This window comes from Homo sapiens, chromosome 15, assembly GCF_000001405.40.
Source record: "Homo sapiens chromosome 15, GRCh38.p14 Primary Assembly".
Lineage (NCBI taxonomy): Eukaryota > Metazoa > Chordata > Mammalia > Primates > Hominidae > Homo > Homo sapiens.
This window is the reverse complement of record NC_000015.10, coordinates 81,423,964-81,443,408: the sequence shown is the minus strand read 5'-3', so window position 1 is coordinate 81,443,408 and position 19,445 is coordinate 81,423,964. Positions and strand designations below refer to the sequence as shown.

Sequence of the window (19,445 nt, the reverse complement as noted above, 5' to 3'; positions counted from 1 at the left end):
GAGGTTGACAAAAATGGACCCTGATTAATTATGTTTTCTACCACATGCATTTCTTGGAAACATTTCAGGCAGGGGTGTATCAGATTTATAAGGGCTATTAAGAAGAGTGAATACACGTTTTCATCTGCATACATAATTTATGCTAGTGGAATACATTTTCCATGTGTGTGTATAAAAACAAGCAGGTTGAATTGTGTTTGTGGAATGGATACGATCCGGGCATCACATATGTGGCATTTTGCTCTTCTGCAATTTCAAGTTTGTAATCTAAGACACAGAATTACTTAACAATGACTATAAATGCATGCTACATTGCAAAGATAATTGCTTTTACATTTCATCTGTTATTTGCTAGCATAACCTTTTTTTATGTGTGAATTTCTTACCAAATGACTTCCAAATGAGTATTTTGGAATACAATTAACTACACAATTAACTATAGGCTCCCAATTTGGTACAGTCAGGAGATATTAGAATGTCTTCCACACTGGTGCTTCTCAAAGTCTGTAGAAGAAAGCAGAATTTCCCCCCCATTAATCACTGACCAATTATTTCGAAAAAAACATAACAAAAGTAAATTATTAGAAAAATGAAATTTAAAAGTATGAAACAAACCCTTTAAAAATTTTAGTTGAAATAGACATAAAATTATTCATTGTGTCGGATTCTAAAAAAGTTCTAACACTCTCCATTTCTAAATTTATCACAGGGCACATTGGTGACATGTAGTTCACAGAGACACTCTGGCTCACAGACCCCACTTTGAGTGGCACTGCCCTAGATAACAGTTGGTAAAAGAACATGTGCACCTTTCAAGTTTCCATTTTGTTAGGAGATGCTTAGAAAGTTAATAAAAATGTACTCTGTCTTTGTCCAAACTGCACAGGTTTGTGGGATCTGATAATGTGTCCTAGACTCTATTTTGGTGATGGAGTTCTGCAAAATCCACCTGCAATTCCACTCTGGTTCTGCTGCAAGTCAGCCCTTGCTTAAATCTCTTCTGTGGCTTCCCATTGCCCTCAGGATGACATCGAAACAATTAGCCATGACACAGTGGTCTTGCCCACCTTCCTATCTCTTCAACATCTTATCTGCCACTCTCCAAACAATCCCAGAAAACAAGATCATATTAGAAAAACTCAGAAGCCAATCTGAAGTGCCTCCTACCAGACAAAGATGGGAAAAGTTGAGCAACAATATAAATAATAAGTGCAATAGACTGAAACACACCAAATAGATTTAAATCCATCTGTTCATAATAACACTTTAGAAAGGTATTGGGCCAGGCTAACCCAGTCAGTAGATCATGAGACTCTTAAAAAGGTCTTGTTCATCTTTGGAGGCTGCTAGGGAACTAACTCATTATTATGAAAATGGGTGAGTCAAGGAAAGATACAAGCATTCATCCTTTGTTATACAAACTTTGCCTCAGAACAAATACTTGATAAGAGAAAATTTCCTTCATAGAATTATTTTAACTAATAAAGAAAGAATTTCAGCAATTTGCCACCCCTAATGGAATAATGGCTACATTTTAGTAACCACTTGGAGAATAAACGGAGATACAATTTTTCAAAATCATTAAAGTGTTGAAAGAAAAAATAACCTAACCCATTAGCAAGAGGGCAGAGACAAGAGTAATTAAGCATCAAAACCAGTAAGTATTAAAAAGGACAAAACACGTCAATTCTGAAAACACACATGTAAGTATGAAAACTATCAGATGACAAAACTCTCTGTGTAGGCAAGAAAATAAATTTGACCTATATATATTTTAAAAGGTATATTAAAGCAAAATCATAGAATTAAAAGGAAAACAGTAGGCAAAGATATAGCAGGCAAGCACAAAAACGTTTGACAGGTGGCAGAGTCAAAGACACAAACACAACAAAGAGAAGACAGTTATACACCTCTACCGACAAAATAAAATGGTATTGAACTATATAACATAAAGTACTAGGAAAATAAATAGAAATTGATAAAGCCACAATAGTAGTGCGAGACATCACACCTTTATCAATTGGTGATGCATAAAAGACGAAAAAAAAAAAAGAGATGTGCCTACTATGGTTTATCTCATTAACATACACATAATAAGATAGCTTTTTTATATATGTAAAATGTCTCAACTGTTTTGTAATTTTTTTCCTTTTAATTGTGGTAAAATACACATAACAAAAAATTGACCATCTTAACCATTTTTAAGTGTATAGTTCATACTGTTAAATACATTTACATTGTTGTGGAACCAATCTCCAGAACTCTTTCCATCTCGCAAAACTGAAACTTCACATCCATTAAACAACTCCCTATTCCTTCCTCTCCCAAGCAACTAGCAACCACTATTCCACTTTCTGTCTCTATGAATTTGACTACTCTAGGTACCTCACGTAAGTGAAATCATAAGTATTTGTCTTCTGTGGCTGGCTTATTGCACTTAGCATAGTGTACTCAAGGTATTTATGTTGTAGCCTGTGTCAGAATTTCCTTCCTTTTCATGACTGAGTAATATTCTATCATATGTCTATATTATATTTCTTTAGTCATCTCTGAACAGTTGGGCTGCGTCCACCTTTTGGATCCTGTGAACAATGCTGCTATGAATATGTGTATGCTTTGGAAAATTTTTAATTAAAAATCAGTATTACAGGAACGATTAGGGGATGGGCATTGAACTGGACACTGCACGAGAAATCATGTCACCCTTTTAGTATCCCCCAGGAGACACATCTTCAATTGGTAGATGCAAAATTACAAATTGATGTGACTTTGCCAAGGTCCCAAGGAGATGAACAGCAAGCCAAGCTTGGGTTTGAACTCAGGTTTGTCTGCCTTCAAATTCTGAACTCAAATAATCAGATAGCCAAGAAGAAGTTAGGAGAGATGTTTGTTTTTAACTGCAACATAAAAGGAACTCAGCGTTCACTTAATTAATTTCTATTTGCCGGTCGTAACCTTGCTTATGCTTACATTTTCATCTCTTTGTTTTGAGAAAAACAACCTCCCTCATCTTGTGAAGTCTGATTCTTCTTTGTAGCACTTCTCTGGCCTCCTTGCTCCCTGCTCTGCTTCGGATAAACAAGTAAAATTCACATTCCAGGTTACTTTTTGCCAATCACCCTCACTGAGAATTACTGATACAGAAGAAAGGGTCCAGGTCCCCATCCAAAAAATGGAAATAAAATAAAATTGCTCTAAGAATTGAAAGACGTGATACATATAAATCACTTAATGTAATGCCTGAAACATTATAATGGGCTCAATGCTGCTCTAAGTCATCACTGTTAATGGCCCCCTTAGTTTCCACTGTATCATAATTGATGTAATCACTCTACTGATGGATAATAATTCATTGCTATTTTTTATTATAAAAACAATACACTATATACATCTGTATAGCACAATAGCATGCACAATATAATCTTATTTTTTAAATATCAGGCAGCATAATACATGTATACACAGGTATCTGGAAGAAGATAAACAAAATGGTGAGTCTTGTGTTTTCACCTTTAGACTTTTTTGTTTTGTTGTTCTTTGTCTTGTTTTGAGCAATAAAAATGTATTAATTTTAAAAACAGAAAAAAATTATTTTGGAAAAGAGAATGCTGTAATCCCATACAAGAGAAAGTCTACAAATTTCAGAAAGGCAGGTCTAAATTGAAAATCAGTTCTTCTTTGAGTGAATATGCTTGTAATTAGCTGCTTATTTGAGACGAAAATGGGATACACGCCCATGTTAAACATGATATCTATCTAAAAGGACTAATTTGAGAATGATTATCACACACCAAAGTCTGTAGTATTTTACCAAATCTAAGATGTCTTCAATTATAAGTTGTATCATTGTTTTATAGGCCATTAAGAAATAAGAAAAATGTCTAAATAAACCATGATGTGTCATAGATTCTGAAATGCATCCTGATTTCCAAGAATTCAGAATGTGAAAATATTTGCACCTTAGACTTGATAAAAGAGTGTCATTCACTTCCTGTCATTAATTTACTTACTTATTTATTCAGTATATAACTCCCTTATTCAGAAATATTCTTCCAATCCCCTAACATTCAAAGCACTGTTTAGAGTTGAATTTAAAGATAGTACATAAAATATTAACTCTCTGCTCTCAAAAAGGCTGAGGCATGAATCTATGTAGTAAACTACAATACAATATTTTCGTGCTAGATCTGAAGTAAATAAGAGATGTTGTGGGGCACACAGGCCAGCACAATTACTATTTCCCTGAGGATACTGGGGAGCCTTAGTGAAGACCATGTGTATCATCTTCCCTTGAAAAAGGAGCATCTTTGTCCAGACACACAGAGGCAGATATGCAAAGGTCCAATACATCCTCTGCCGGGCCCTCTGAACCTAGCCCCATCATTCCTTTGTTTTCTAAATGTGTGCCTCACATAGATGAGGTAGGAAAGATTACACCTCAGCCTTGGCTTGAAAAATGAGAGAAACAGGTTTTAAAAAGGCTTTTGAAGCCTTCAGGATTACAAGAAATTGTCTCAGATGCTGGGGTGAGCATCTGAAATTAGTGCAAAAGGTTAAAAAAGGAAAAGTGTATAGTTAAATTTGCCCTGGAAAAAAAATAGTAAGTCACCTTAAGTTACCATAACTTAAGCACCTGAAGTTCAGAAACGTGATTTTTTTTTTTTTTTTGAGACGGAGTCTAGCTCTGTTGCCCAGGCTGGAGTGCAGTGGCTCGATCTTGGCTCACTGCAACCTCTGTCTCCTGGGTTCAAGTGATTCTCCTGCCTCAGCCTCCCGAGTAGCTGGGGTTACAGGCGCCCATCACCACACCCAGCTAATTTTTGTATTTTTAGTAAAGACAGGGTTTCACTGTGTTGGCCAGGCTGGTCTCGAACTCTTGACCTCAAGATTCAACCGCCTCTGCCTCCCGAAGTGTTGGGATTACAAGCGTGAGCCACCGTGCCCAGCCAAAAACATGATTTTTTAATTTCATTGTTTTGTGTGTTTCACGTGATAGCTTTCTTTGCCTTTTGGGGATTAAGTAAAAGTTCTTAGGAAGACATGTAAGAAAATAAAAGAATTCATTCTCTCTCACTCTCTCTCTCCAGACTCATAGTTGAATTTGCCTAAGTTAAATACCCAAATAATGTGATTCCACTTCAGTCACTTACAGAATTCAAAGCACATAATCTCTGAACAGGATCAATAAAAATAAATACCGTGAACCAAAGGCAAATCAAAGGAAACCATAAAACTATAGTCATCAACCAAAGGAAGGAGCAAGGATGGATTCAAGACAGAAATCAAAGAACATGATAAAAATTTAAGCTAAATGTTTATATTTTAGATGATTATTTACATAGAAGAAACGAGCACTGTTCTTAAAATATCCAGATAACATAATGCTAGATACAGTTAAAAATGAATGTTCCTCCATCCCCTTCTGTTTCTCTTCCACAGATACAAGCACTGTTAACAATTTGGTCTATATTCTTTTGGATTTTCTGCTCATACATATGAGAATATATTATACATATCAATATTTAAATGTGTTAATATGCTTATCCCTGTTGTGTTTCCTTTTATGTGACTTCCTCCTTTTCTCCTGTGGTGGTTTGGGATTGTGGCACAAAGAAGAAGGAGGAATAAATATGCAGTTTATGAAATAGAATTCAGAATAGGATTTTTGAGTCTTTAGCAATATGCAGGTTTTTAAAAGCCTGCGTTTGTCATGAGATATAATTTTCTAAAATTTAAAATTTGTACATTTTATTAACCTATTGGTCTGATTTTATAATTTTAACGATACCCACTAGAACGTAGAACAGGCAAGAAGAAGAAATACAGTCCTCTTCCTTTTTACTTCCGAGTAGAAAACGGTAGGGTAAAAAGATCAGATTCTTGCCCATGCCTTCCCTGAGTCATTTTTCTGGGAAAGGAAAATGAGGGATGGGTCAAATGTTCTTCCCATACAATGAGAGTATCTAAGACAAACGAGACTACAGTCTCATTTCCATAGGATGTACTCCTTTAAGTGTATAACGGCTTGGAGTCACATTCAGAATTCCATGGGAGCATTAACCAGCACTGGAGCTTTGAGCAAAGCCTGCACCTGGTGTCTGGTGCAGCACATAGCTTCCATGTGCACTAGAGGCTTCTGCAACAAGGACAAAGGAGCTGCAGCATTAGGGAATTTAGTGAAAAAGATGCAAATGACCGGCCGGGCGCGGTGGCTCACGCCTGTAATCCCAGCACTTTGGGAGGCCGAGGCAGGCGGATCACGAGGTCAGGAGATCGAGACCATCCTGGCTAACACGGTGAAACCCCGTCTCTAGTAAAAATACAAAAAAAATTAGCCAGGCGTGGTGGTGGGCGCCTGTAGTCCCAGCTTCTCGGGAGGCTGAGGCAGGAGAATGGCGTGAACCCGGGAGGCGGAGCTTGCAGTGAGCCGAGATCTCGTCACTGCACTCCAGCCTGGGGACAGAGCGAGAGTCTGTCACAAAAAAAAAAAAAAAAAAAAAAAAAAAAAAAAAGATGCGAATGACCAGTGTCAGTGTACACAGCTCAAAATTAAGGTCCAATATTATGTACTGCCTTCACACCTGGGGAAAACTGGGAGAGCCTTAAGTGGCCTCACCACAAGTTCTCCTCCCCATTTTGCTCCCATAGATAAGGTCGCCTAGCCAAATAACCCTCCTTTTCAGGAGGACCAGGCACAGTTCCTACTTATACCTGAGAGGCAGGTTTTGGTTCCCTGACAGCCTGCGGAATTTTCAACAAAAAAATCACATCCTCCGTCGGGCAGCAGACAGCACCAGGCTCCTGATACTACAAAGCCTACCTCCTGCAGCCCCTGCCTCCTGCAGCCCCTGCTTGTTCACCCTCTTCCTAAGCCGAACACCTACGTGGCCCTGTGTGGCCTGTGGCCCTTTCCCCCAGCCCCCTGTGCTGCGAGTATGGGTGATTAGTAAATCACCGTCAACCTCATCTGTCTGGTGTTGGTGTTCAGTCATCCCCATAACCTGAGGCAACGGTGTAAATATCAGGTGTTAAAAACCACTGTGCCCCATCTTTAGCAGTGAAGGCTGGTACCTGCCTGACTTCAGCAATTCTTATTGTTCTTTTAAAAAGATAAATCTATCAATTTAACGCAACTCCAGTCATACTCCCAGGTATTTTTGAGTGGGAAGGAGCAGGGAGCAGGATGAGGGAGAATATAGGGAGGTTGGATACAAAGTTAAAAAAAAAGAAATTACTAATTTTCACTTCTTTTAAAATAATTTTTTAAACGTATAGAAATTTTCAAATAAATGAATTGGGAAAGCTATTACAAGCAAGTATAAATCAAAAATAAAATACAGCAAAATAAAGGATAAGGCCAACAATACACTATCAGGCAAAAAACAATTCAAGAAAGGGAACTGAATGGGACAAAGAAGATGATTTTAATTCTCTAAGAGATAGACTTGAAAATAAAAATGTGGTATTTATGAACCTTTAAATTAAATACAATCATTTTCAAGCCCTCCCTCCTTGAGATTGTTCTAGAATTAACCTGATTAGAGTTGTGGTGTTTCCCAAATTCCAATTATATGGTCACAGGCAATCCCTCAGACTTGATCCCTCAGATACCTAATTATAATTGGTATGTGTGGCTTTTACTAGCTTATATCCAAGTGTTGGAGAAGACCCTTATTTTCTCCTCCATTTACTGACAACAAGTGTAGAAAAAAAAAGTATATTGGTTTTTTATTTTTTAGAATGAGATTATCCTAGGTGGCATCCATCCATCCATCCATGCATCCATCCTTAAATAGTGTGAACCCAAACTTCATGGCTTCCATATTTTTTTTTCTGAATAGAAAGAAAGAAAATAATGAGGAAGAATTGTCTAGTCTCAAATTCACTTTACCAGTTATGAGGTTACACTGTTAGGTCAGGACACTGCAGAGATGAATCAGAGGGAGTCAAAGGGAGAAGGGAATAAAGAAATATCTTAGATTCATTGGGGGACAGGCGAGGTACAGGTAGCTGCATCGTCCATGTGTAGGACACATATTGTCTTCAGTAATCACCACAAACATACTCCTCTTTTGCATTAGTGAAACATGTTCACACGTTTGTTATTGCTGATGTATTTAACAACAGTGAGAGAAATTGCTACAGGAAATATAACCCCGAAAAGGAATTAAAAAAAAAAAAGCTTTATCTAGGTTAGATGGTGATTTAGTTTTCAGCAGAGAAAATCCAGAACAGTGGAAGGATCATGCTGGTCTTTTCATCTATGTTCTCCCTTGTGTTGATTCAAGCATCTCTAAGAGTTATTTCAAGAACCATTTTCACACATTCACTGATTTTTGTTTCTTTTTTTAAGCCTTCTGGAAGCAAAACCCAAGCTGTCTATTGCAGCCATGGAGATAAACAGAGATCTGAAAGCTATCATTTTGAAGTTTTCTTCTCTTTTAACTATTCTTAACAGGATAAAGCTACCCTAACTACATGATAGAATCACCTGGGGAGCTTTTCAAAAATCTCAGATTCTCAGGACACATCCAAGGCCAATTAAATCAGAATCTTGTGAGGTATGCACCAGGCATGGTAGAAGTCGGTGACTTCTGGCAGCAATATTGTTTTGGCACCCAGATTTACGGATTTTTAGGTCATCATTATAAGCCCTTATGTTAGAATAGCTTTCACATCTTTTACAAATGTTACCCACTTAATCTTCACCACAAGCCGTGTGATGGGTCTTATTCTCCATGTTTTATAAATGAGGACATTAGGGTTCAAAGGGGCTTGCAAGTGGCAGACACCAGTGTATAATCCATTGACTTGAATCCTAAGAAAAGTTGGATATTCCAAAACTAGATTGTTCACCGGCTTCCCCAGGGACTTAAGCTCTCATTACAGAATTCCTACAGAAGAGAAGGTCTGGGTACATATTACCAAAGATTGAAGAACAGGGACAAAGCTACCTGTAACACCCATATTATTTCTCTTTTTATGGCAGTCAGGTGGCTTGTAGTGAGTATTGAATGATCAGCATGATGAAACTGCTTCATCAACTCATATGATCTAGAATTTGGGAGAAAACGGGAAAGTTCCCAAGTAATCCCATGCTCAGATACCGTCTCAGTAACATGTACCATGACCTTTTATGATGAAGCAATATGAACATGGTATTGTTTGTGCCAGTTTTTTAAGGAGTCATACAACATTGTCAGTGTTATTAAGGTTATGAATTGGGAATTACCTGGATAGGACATCCACCACCTCATTCACTGTCTGCATGGATTCAATTAATATGATTGGTCAGACAGGAGGAATTTTTCTGCATAACTAGGTGCTTAGTTGCAGGATACAGGAAGGTTCCCACATAAAGGAGGATCATTCATTGGGCCAGAATATTGAGATTGCTACCAACCAATAACATTGATGACTCTTAAAACCATATTAAGACATAAATGGAATGGTGAACTGAGAACCTCTGAAAATCCTTTCCATAAAATCGAGGAGAACATTGGCAAAAATAGCCAAAACTGACTTTTTCAAAACTCTATAAATTAACCAAAAGCTTGCAACAAGGCGATTGTTTATTCAAGAAAAAAAAAGTGGCAAGAAGAATGGGTGTTGTGACATTTTAACTTGCCTTATTTCCATTACCTTCTCAACTCCATGGTACCCTTAAAAATCAACAGCCCACAATACAATGCCATTAAAGGTGCCAGACAGGGTTGGAGCTCTTTCAAAGCCTCATTCTCAGAGAATTGTCACTGTTTGACTTGTTTGACTTATCACTGTTTGACTTGTCTGGTAGTTCCCTAGAAAACCATACACACAAGGCTCGTCTTTAAGTGAATAGACTTGGAGATTACCCAGTGTGAACAGGCTTTTGCCCAGGGGCATTTGTCAAAAAGAAAACAAAAATCAGCAGCGATTGTTCAGCATTACTGTGGCAATAACAATTGGTCCAAACAAGTTGACCAAAAACTTTGAAAGAAAAACCTGGGGAGTTAGATGTTTTTCAGAGGCTTTGAAAAATTCTGAAATATTCATAGGAATCTAGAAGGTCACACACATGTGTAGGGAAAAATCTAAGAAGGCCTTAAGCTCTCACACCTGGCTGACCATGAGGCTCTGCATAAGTAGGGACAGAAATGCTAAGACAGAGTGATAAAGGAAATGGATGTATGTTAAATGCATGTCCTGACATGTACACAGAGTCCTTGGCAAACACAAGGAGACTTTTTGGTTCCAGTATTTTAGTGAAATCTCTGTCCAGTCATTACCTGGTCACTAAATTAACCAACCAGAAACTTCAGGGGTCATACACGGCAAAGAACACGTATGGCATAGAATTAGTTCAGGTAAGTCACTAAGAACACAAGCAGCAACAAAAACAACAATAATAAAGAGCAATGACAACAAACCCTAAAGAGAGGGAGAATCTATTTTCCAGGGTAGCCACTTTTATATTATTGAAAATTTCCAGTTTCAACAACAAAAAATGATGAGACAGGCAAAGAAACAAAGTATGAGCCACACATAGAAGAAAAACAGTCAATACAAATTGTTCCTGAGGAAGCCAAGATGTTGGACTTACTAAAAAAAGACTTTAAATCAATTGTTTTAAATATGTTCAAAAACTAGAGGACACCAAATGTATGATCAACAAAAGAAAAAAATTGTTAAGTTAGACTCTACTAAAACTAAAAACTTTTGCTCTGTTACACTAACACTGTTAGAAGAATAAAAAGACAAGCCATAGACTGGAAAAGTAATTGCAAAATATATATCTGATATGTAATTGGTATCCAAAATATGCAAAAGCTCTCAAAACAATAAGATAGTAACTATCTAATTTAAAAATAGGCAATGAGGTTTTAATTTAAAACTTCATTGAAGAAGATATACATGTGACAAATAGGCATATGAAAAGATGTTCAACATCACATGTCATTAGAGAATTATAAATTAAAACAACAATAAATTATCACTACACACCTATCAGAATGGCCAAAGTCCAGAACACTGTCAACACCAAATACCGATGAGGGTGTGGAGCAATAGGAACTTGGATTCATTGCTAGTGGGAATGCAAAATGACACAGCCACTTTAGAAGACAGATCGGCAGTTCCTCACAAAACTAAACATACTCTTGCCATATAATCCAGAAATTGTGTTCTTTTGTATTGACCCAAAGAAGTTGAAATTTTATATTCACACAGAACTTGCACACAAATGTTTACAGCAGCTGTATTCATAATTTACAAAACTTGGAAGCAACCAAGAATAGGTGAATGGATTTAAAAAACACAAAACTGTGGCATATTCATACAATGAAATATTATTCAGTAACAAAAACAAATGAGCTATCAATCTATGAGAACTCATGAAGGAATCTTAAATATATATTGCTAAGCGAAGGAAGCTACGCTGTAAACACTACATACTGTATGATTCCAACTATATGACATTCTGGAAAAGGCAAAGCTATGGAGTCTTTTAAAAGATCAACTGTTGTCAGAAGTTTGGGGAAAGGGAGAAATGAATCAGTGCAGCAGAGGGGAATTTTCAGACAGTGAAACTATTCTGCAGGAGACTATAATTGTGAATACATGTCCAACAAAAAGAGTAAACCCTAATGCAAACCATGAACTTTTGTTATTAATAGTGTATCAATATTACTTAATCAATTGTAACAAATGTACCACACTAATACAAGACACTAATAATAGGTAAACCTGGGGAAGGATGTGAAGTTATATATATGAACTATATGTACTTTCCACTCAACTTTTCTCTAAACCTAAAAACTATGCAAAATAATAAAGACTATGAATTAAAACAACCAGAAAAAAAATTAGAGAAAACTATGTCTAAAGAAACAAAGGAAACGATGAGAATAATGTCTCACCAACTACATAATATCAACAAAGAAATGAAATGATTTTTAAAAAACCAAATATAAATTCTGGAGTTGAAAAGTACAATAATTGAAATGAAAAAACTTCTGTGGGTACTCAACATTGTATTTGAGTAAGCAGAAGAAAGAATTAGCAAACTTGAAGATAGGTCAATTAAGATTAGCCAATCTAAGAGAGAGAAAGAAAATGGAAAAAAAAAAAAAAAAACCCAGAGCCTCAGAGATCTATGGGACATCATTAATTGTGCCAACATATGCATAATGGAATTCTAGAAGGAGAGGAGAATGAGAAATGGGCAGAAAGAATATTTAAAAAAAAAGAATGGCCAAAAATTAACAAATTTAATTTAAAAAAACATTTATTTAGACATGAAAGGAGCTCAACACACTCCAATAGGATACACTGTAAGTGATCCATACCTATGTACATCATAGTCAAACTGTCAAAAATCAAAGATGAAGGGATTTTTGAAAGCAGAGAGAAGCTACTTATCATGCATAAATTATTCTCAATATGATTAACATCCAGTTTTTCATTAGCAATCACAGAGGCTAGAAAGCAGTAAGATGATATATTTAAAGTGCTGAAAGAAAAAAAAGTCTGGCAACCCCAAATTTTATATCCAGCAAAACTAATCTTTAAAAGTTAACAGAAATTAAGGAATTCCCAGATAAAAGTTGACGCAACTGGTCATTAGCAAACCGTCTCTATAAGAAAAACTACAGGAGGCTCTTCTGGACAAAATAAAAGGACACTACTGAGCAGTAACTTAAAAATTATAACGGAATACTATGAAGCAATAAATAGCATCAGTAAAGGTAACTACATAGGTAAATATAATATACTGCACAAATATATTTTTGGTTATAACACTTCTTTTTTTTCTCCCTAAGTGATAACTGCATAAATAGATAATAAATTTGTGTTGATGGGCATACAATATATTAAAATGTAATTTTATGGCAATAATAGCATAAGAGTGGGAAAGAATAGAGCTGTATAGGAGCAAAGTTGTATAGACTATTAAAATTCAGTTGGTATTAATCTAAACTAGATTATTACAAGTTTAGATATTAATTATAATTTCCCAGGGCAACTACCAAAAAAAATTCAAAAGAATATATACTGAAAAAAAAACAAGTGAACTAAAATGGGACACTAGAAAATCTCTACTCAACACAAAAGAAGGCAGTAATAAAAGAACAGAGGCACAACAAAAGCAACAACAAAGAGAAAAAACTCAGAAGAAATATAGAAAACAGAAAGATGGAAGATGTAAATCATACCTCATCAGTAATTAAATTACATGTAAATGAATTAAATACTTCACTAGCAGAAGAAAGGAAATGAGAAACATTATAATGGATATAAATGAAATAAAAAATAGAAAAACAATAGAGAAAATCAATAAAACCAAAAGTGGCTTTTTGGAAAGATTGGGAAAACTGACTATCCTATAGCTACACTGAGCAAGAATAAAAGAAAGAAGACTCAAAATACTAAAGTCAGGAAAAAAAAGTGGACATTACTACATATCTTACAGAAACAAAAAGGATTATAAGAAAATACTACGACCAATTATATAACAACAAATTAGATCATTGAGAAGAAACTGACACATTTCCAGAAAGATAAAACTTCCAATACTGACTCAAGAATAAATAGAAAATGTTAATAAATCTATTACAGGCAAAGAGTTTGAATTAGTAGTATTAAAAATTCCCACAAAGTGCCATGACAGGGATATTGCTTAAACAAAAAAAGAAAAAGAAAAAAGAAAACCCCCATAAAGAAAAGACTAGATGCTTGTTCAGTGATTGCTAACAAAAGTTAAAGAAGAATTAACATCAATCCTTCTCAAACTCTTCCAAAAAATAGAAGAAAAAGAAACACTTCTCATTTTCTAAGGCCAGTATTACTCTAGACAGGTATCACAACAAGAGAAAATTATAGACCAATACCCCTATGTATACCAATGAAAAATCTTCTACAACAACTTTCAGATTGAATATAGCAACATATAAAAGGGCTTATCCAAATGCGATTTATCCCATTTTTATGGATTCAAAGACAATATTGTTAAGATGGTAAAACTCCACAAATTGATCTACAGATCCGATGCAATTTCTATCAGGATGCCAGCTGCCTTTTTTTCCCCCCCAAATTGACAAGCTTAATGTAAAACTCATATAAAAATTCAAGGGACCCAGAAGAGCCAAAACAATCTTAAAAGAACAAATTTGTAAAACTCATACTTCCATATTTCAAAACTTACTACAATAAAGGTACAATAAACGAAACTGTGCCACTGGCTTTAAAATAAATATATGGATCAGTGGAATAGAATTGAGAATACAAAAATATACCCTAACATTTACGGTAGATCAATTTTTGACAAAACTACCAAGACAATCCAGTGGAGAAAATTTCAATATTTGTAAGTCATATATAAAGGACTAATATTTAGAATATATAAAGAACTCTTACAACCCAACAACAGAAAGACAAGCAACCCATTTAAAAAGTAGACAAAGGATTTAAGCAAACATTTTTCATAAGAAGATATACAAATGGCCAACAAGCACCTGAAATATGCTCAACATCACTAATCATTAGGAATAAGAAAAGTCAAAAACAACCTTCAGATACCACTTCACACCTACCAGCATGACTATAATAAAAAAGATGGATAATAACAGATGTTGGCAAGAATGTGGAGAAATTGGAACCATAACACATTGCTGGTGGGAATGTAAAATGGTGCTGTCATTTTGAAAAATAGTTTGACATTTTTTCAAATGTTAAACATACAGTTTAAATCATGTTGAGTAAAAAAAGACAAACACAACAATTCCGTTTACATGAAGTTTAAAAGGCAAAGCTATAGTGCAGAGATACATAGGTGGTAAAACTATAACAAACTTTTTTTTAAAAATGATTATCATTAAAGCCAAGATAATAATTACTTTAGGGGTTAAGAAGAGGCTTTTGGTTTGAAACAAGCACATGAAGGGAACTAATGTAATGGTAATGCTATAATTTTTGGTGTGGGTGATCGTAATCTGGCTGTTAATTTTTATCATAATTCAATAAGCTTGCACAATTACGTAGTGTGCACTTTTCTACTAAGTGCTATATTTCATAATAAACACTCATTTTAATGTGCAAGTGAAAAATCTATGAATAAACTGTACTATAAGCTACTTAATCATTCCCATACTGTTGACATTTTGATTGCTTTCAATTTTTTATTATTCTTAACAACATAGCAATTAAGGTTTTTGTGCAAAATTCTCCATATTTTTTATTATTAACTTGAGATGAATTTCCTTCTGTGGGAATATAAAGGCAAAGGATTCAAATAATTGCAACTACAAATGCTCAAACGTAGTTTTTCTTTCTTATGCTACATGTGGTTTATTTCAACCCAATGCTCAGTATTCCAAGACCTTTCTGAATTCTGATTCTGTCCTGTTACTATCTCCTATCCTTTCAAGGTGTTCCCAACTTCCTCTTAGCAGGCTCATCAATCCCTTACTGCAAGCCCAGGCTTGGAAAGTGAGCTTGCTTCTGCTCCTACATAGTTACCTGTATCAATGTTCAGGACCACGTTGAGAGCCCTTCTGATAAGGAAGGGACTCCTGTGCCTGAGATTTGTGGCCTGTGCCTTCCAGACGGCAATGCATTCTGAAAACTCTTACGATGCAATGCCACTGCCACTGTCAAATAACAACGTTCAAAAAGTTAAAAACATGACATGGCTAAATACAGATTGAGCATATGTCAAGTATTTTATTCAACTCATTAATTAATAAGGGACCGGTAGGATGGTAAAACTGATTCAAAGAACAGTTCAAGGAATGAAGATTGATGGATGTATTAGTCTGTTTTCACACTGCTACAAAGAACTGCCCAAGACTGGGTAATTTATAAAGAAAGAGGTTTAATTGACTCACAGTTCAGCATGGCTGGGGAGGCCTCATGAAACTTGCAATCATGGTGGAAGGCAAAGGGGAAAAAAGGCACCTTCTTCACCAGGCGGCCAGAAGGACAATGAATGCGAGAGAAACTACCAAACACTTATAATAACATCAGATCTCCCGAGAACTCACTTGTTACGAGAACAGCATGGAGGAAACCACGCCCATGATTCAATTACCTCCACCTGGTCTCTCCCTTGACTTGCAAGGATTATGGGGATTACAATTCAAGATGAGATTCAGGTGGGGATACAGCTAAACCGTATCAACAGAGTTAGTTCAAAAATGCTGAAATGAATTTGCTAACAGATATAAAACTATATAGTGTCTCACAGGGTGATAAAATAATAACAGAATAAATCTTTTTACCAGGCAGAAATCTACAAATTAACATGTAATTTCACAGTGTGTGGGTTTTAATCAAGTGGAAATAATCAGTCAAACTCAGGTGTACTCTGCTACTAGTGAAATAATCCTTAGGGAAAGGATTGTAAAACAATGCCCCCACATGACATTGAACATCAAAAGGACATGCATTCATACTTTGGCTTTATTTCCAAGTGTTGGATAACTTTTTCCAACACCACTTTTTTTTCAGCGGTCTTGAAAAATCACTGGGTCTGTCTTTTGCTATTTTGAAAATCCTGAAAAACTGGGGTAGGTAGTAAAATTCAATGCAATTTTACTATTTAAAATTCAAGTCACTACATAGAATATGTATTTTTTTTTCTTCCCAAGGCCAATTCAATTCTTTCATTATCTGAAAGCTCACAAGCAGTCAATTATTTTGCTTTCTGAAGCCACTGATGTTTACCAAGGTATAAGAAACTTCCTATCTTGAAGTGTTCACGGATAGAACATATGCCCAAGAGTCTCCTAAAATCTCATTCAGATAATTGCTTTAGGTGCACATGTGCATTTTTGTTAAAAAGAGAACAAAGTTCTATGATCAGAGGGTTAAGAAACACTGCCAAGTGGGGCTCCTGCAGCTAGTACTTCCATGGAGTTAGTTGCCACATTGCAGGGTGCCTTTACATTTTCCTCACACGTGTTCTATTGCCTTCTTCAGAATCACTGGGTATAAACTCTGCTTCTAGTCACATCCCTGCTATCCACCAGCCTGGAAGCATCTGCATCCTTCTTATGACAAAAGGTACCCATATCACTCCATAGTACCAATACACACACACACACACACACACACACACACACAGAGTATAACACTACCAAAAAGGTAAAGGCACAAAAGGCTGCCAAATCCCTGGCTGTTATACTTAGCAAATACAAAAACCAAAAAGCCCTGCTGTTATTGAAGTTCTGCTCATTTGTTAACATAATTCCTTTTGCTCTAAATTTTATTTGCAGTCTGTCTTTATTAAGAATTCAAACACACCCTAATGTATCATTTACATTATGTGAATATGTGTTTAGCATAAGGCTATTCCAAGGTACCAAGAGTAATTGATGCTAAAATTATATTTCCTGTGTAATCTGTAAAATAAAAGTTCAAAACCCATATGAAGGCAGGAACAATCTGTCAGCTTGTTGCAGGTGCAATAAGCCATGTTGTCATTTGGTCAGCCTAAAACAAATGAGTCGAGCAATGCCATTATAGGCCATTTTCAACTCACAAATTTCATTCCAATTAAAGACTAGGGTTTCTCGTTGCAGAATGGATTCTGTCTATAATAAGCTTTATATTTAAATACACCCCAAGATACTATTTTTGCTAGGATTTTTTTCTTATTTGCATAAAAGGCCTGACAGGGAGCAGAAAGATAGGGGATGGGAAAGATAAAGGGGACATAAAGGAAGATTCTAATCTCTTTCCAATAATGGATAAATAATATCTTAGAGAATGGCAATGTAATAATAGATCCCATTTGCTGAACACTAAGTGTGGGGCAAACGTTATACTATAACCTTGACAGATATTTGTTCATTCATTTATTTAATAGCTGTTGAGTGCCTACTATGTGTCAAGAACTGCCTTATGTGTCCTAGAACATAAAATATAGTTTATACCCTCACAGTGTTTATATGCTAAAGAGAAGAGAGCCCATAAACACAGAAATAAATACAACTACTGCACACACACACACACACACATATAATTTTTTTTTTTTTTTTGAGACTGAGTCTCACTCTGTCGCCCAGGCTGGAGTGCAGTGGCGCGATCTCCGCTCACCGCAAACTCCACCCCCCACATTCACGCCATTCTCCTGCCTCAGCCTCCCGAGTAGCTGGGACAACAGGCGCCCGCCACCACGCCTGCTAATTTTTTTGTATTTTTAGTAGAGACGGGGCTTCACTGTGTTAGCCAGGATGGTCTCGATCTCCTGACCTCGTGATCCACACGCCTCGGCCTCCCAAAGTGCTGGGATTACGGCCACACACGTATATAATTTTAACTTGAAACATGCTTCACAGAGGTGATTGAATTGTGCTGGAGAAGGACTGATTTGGCCAGATGGTCAAAGCGTCTCTTGGAGGTCTCATGAGAATATCTGGAAAAGCTTTCTGGGTAAAGAATCAGCAAATGTCAAAGTGTTGAGACTGAATAGTGTTTGGCACGTTTGAAAGATGCAGAAAGAAGACCAGTGGTCATGGGGATAAGGAGAAAAATGAGGAGAGATTAAAAGGCCATTTGAAAGTTTAAGTAAAAGAATAATGTTCATTTTTCAAAGCTCACTCTGGTTGCTCTGTGAGGGCTACATGGTGAAGGAATGGAGTGGAAGCAAATAGGCTGGTTAGGAGGCTGTTGGGTTGGTGTGGATGGAAGATGATGGTAGTTGTGACCGGGCTTATCAGCGAGCATGATGAGGATCGGCAGAATTCTGGTTGTATCTTTTATTTTTGAGATGGAACGATTAGGATTTGATGATGAATTAAATATCGGGTCTGAGGTCAAGGGAGGAACCAGAGATAAATACTATGGCAAAATAGAAGAACCCCTGCCCTCCCTACTCCTCTTCTCATAACGGAAAAATTGACACAAGATATTGGAAATTCACTGAGTGTGGTGACTCATGCCTGTAATCTCAGCTACTTGGGAGGCTGAGGTGGGAGGATCAATTGAGGCCATGAGTTTGAGATCAGCCTGAGCAATACAGCGAGACCTTATCACTAAAAAGAAAAAGAAAATAGGCATCAGAAATTCACCATAGCAGCCAAATAAATGTCCCACTCCAGTGCAATGCAAAACATGTCCAATTTAACGAAAATCAATAATGAACTTTTCTATAAGAAAACCATCTAGCCAATTGACAAATATTTTTGAATATATATATATACACACACACATACATATACATATACATATATATATATATATATATATATATATATATAAAGATTATTAAGGATAGTTAAAGGATTCCCCTCAGATCCCAACAGTGGAATGTAAATGAATCAATATAATCAAAAGGAAATTTGAAATTTTATTTTTGGTAGCTTTCATAATATACCTTTTCTTCACCAATTCTATGTCTTGGAAAATATTGTAAGGAAATAACCAAATATGGAATTAGACTTACGTTCAAAAACATTAACTATAAT

The 19,445-nt window shown here is 36.1% G+C and overlaps 1 long non-coding RNA gene across 1 annotated transcript in view; it reads right to left on the bottom strand.

Annotated features, from left to right (window-relative positions):
- Window positions 1–332: 332 nt before the first annotated feature.
- TMC3-AS1 (TMC3 antisense RNA 1) overlaps window positions 333–19,445 on the bottom strand; it is a 118,744-nt gene continuing 99,631 nt past the window's right edge. The window contains exon 7 of the long non-coding RNA NR_120365.1: window positions 333–504. This is a non-coding gene — a long non-coding RNA (TMC3 antisense RNA 1). The remainder of the gene's footprint in view (window positions 505–19,445) is intronic.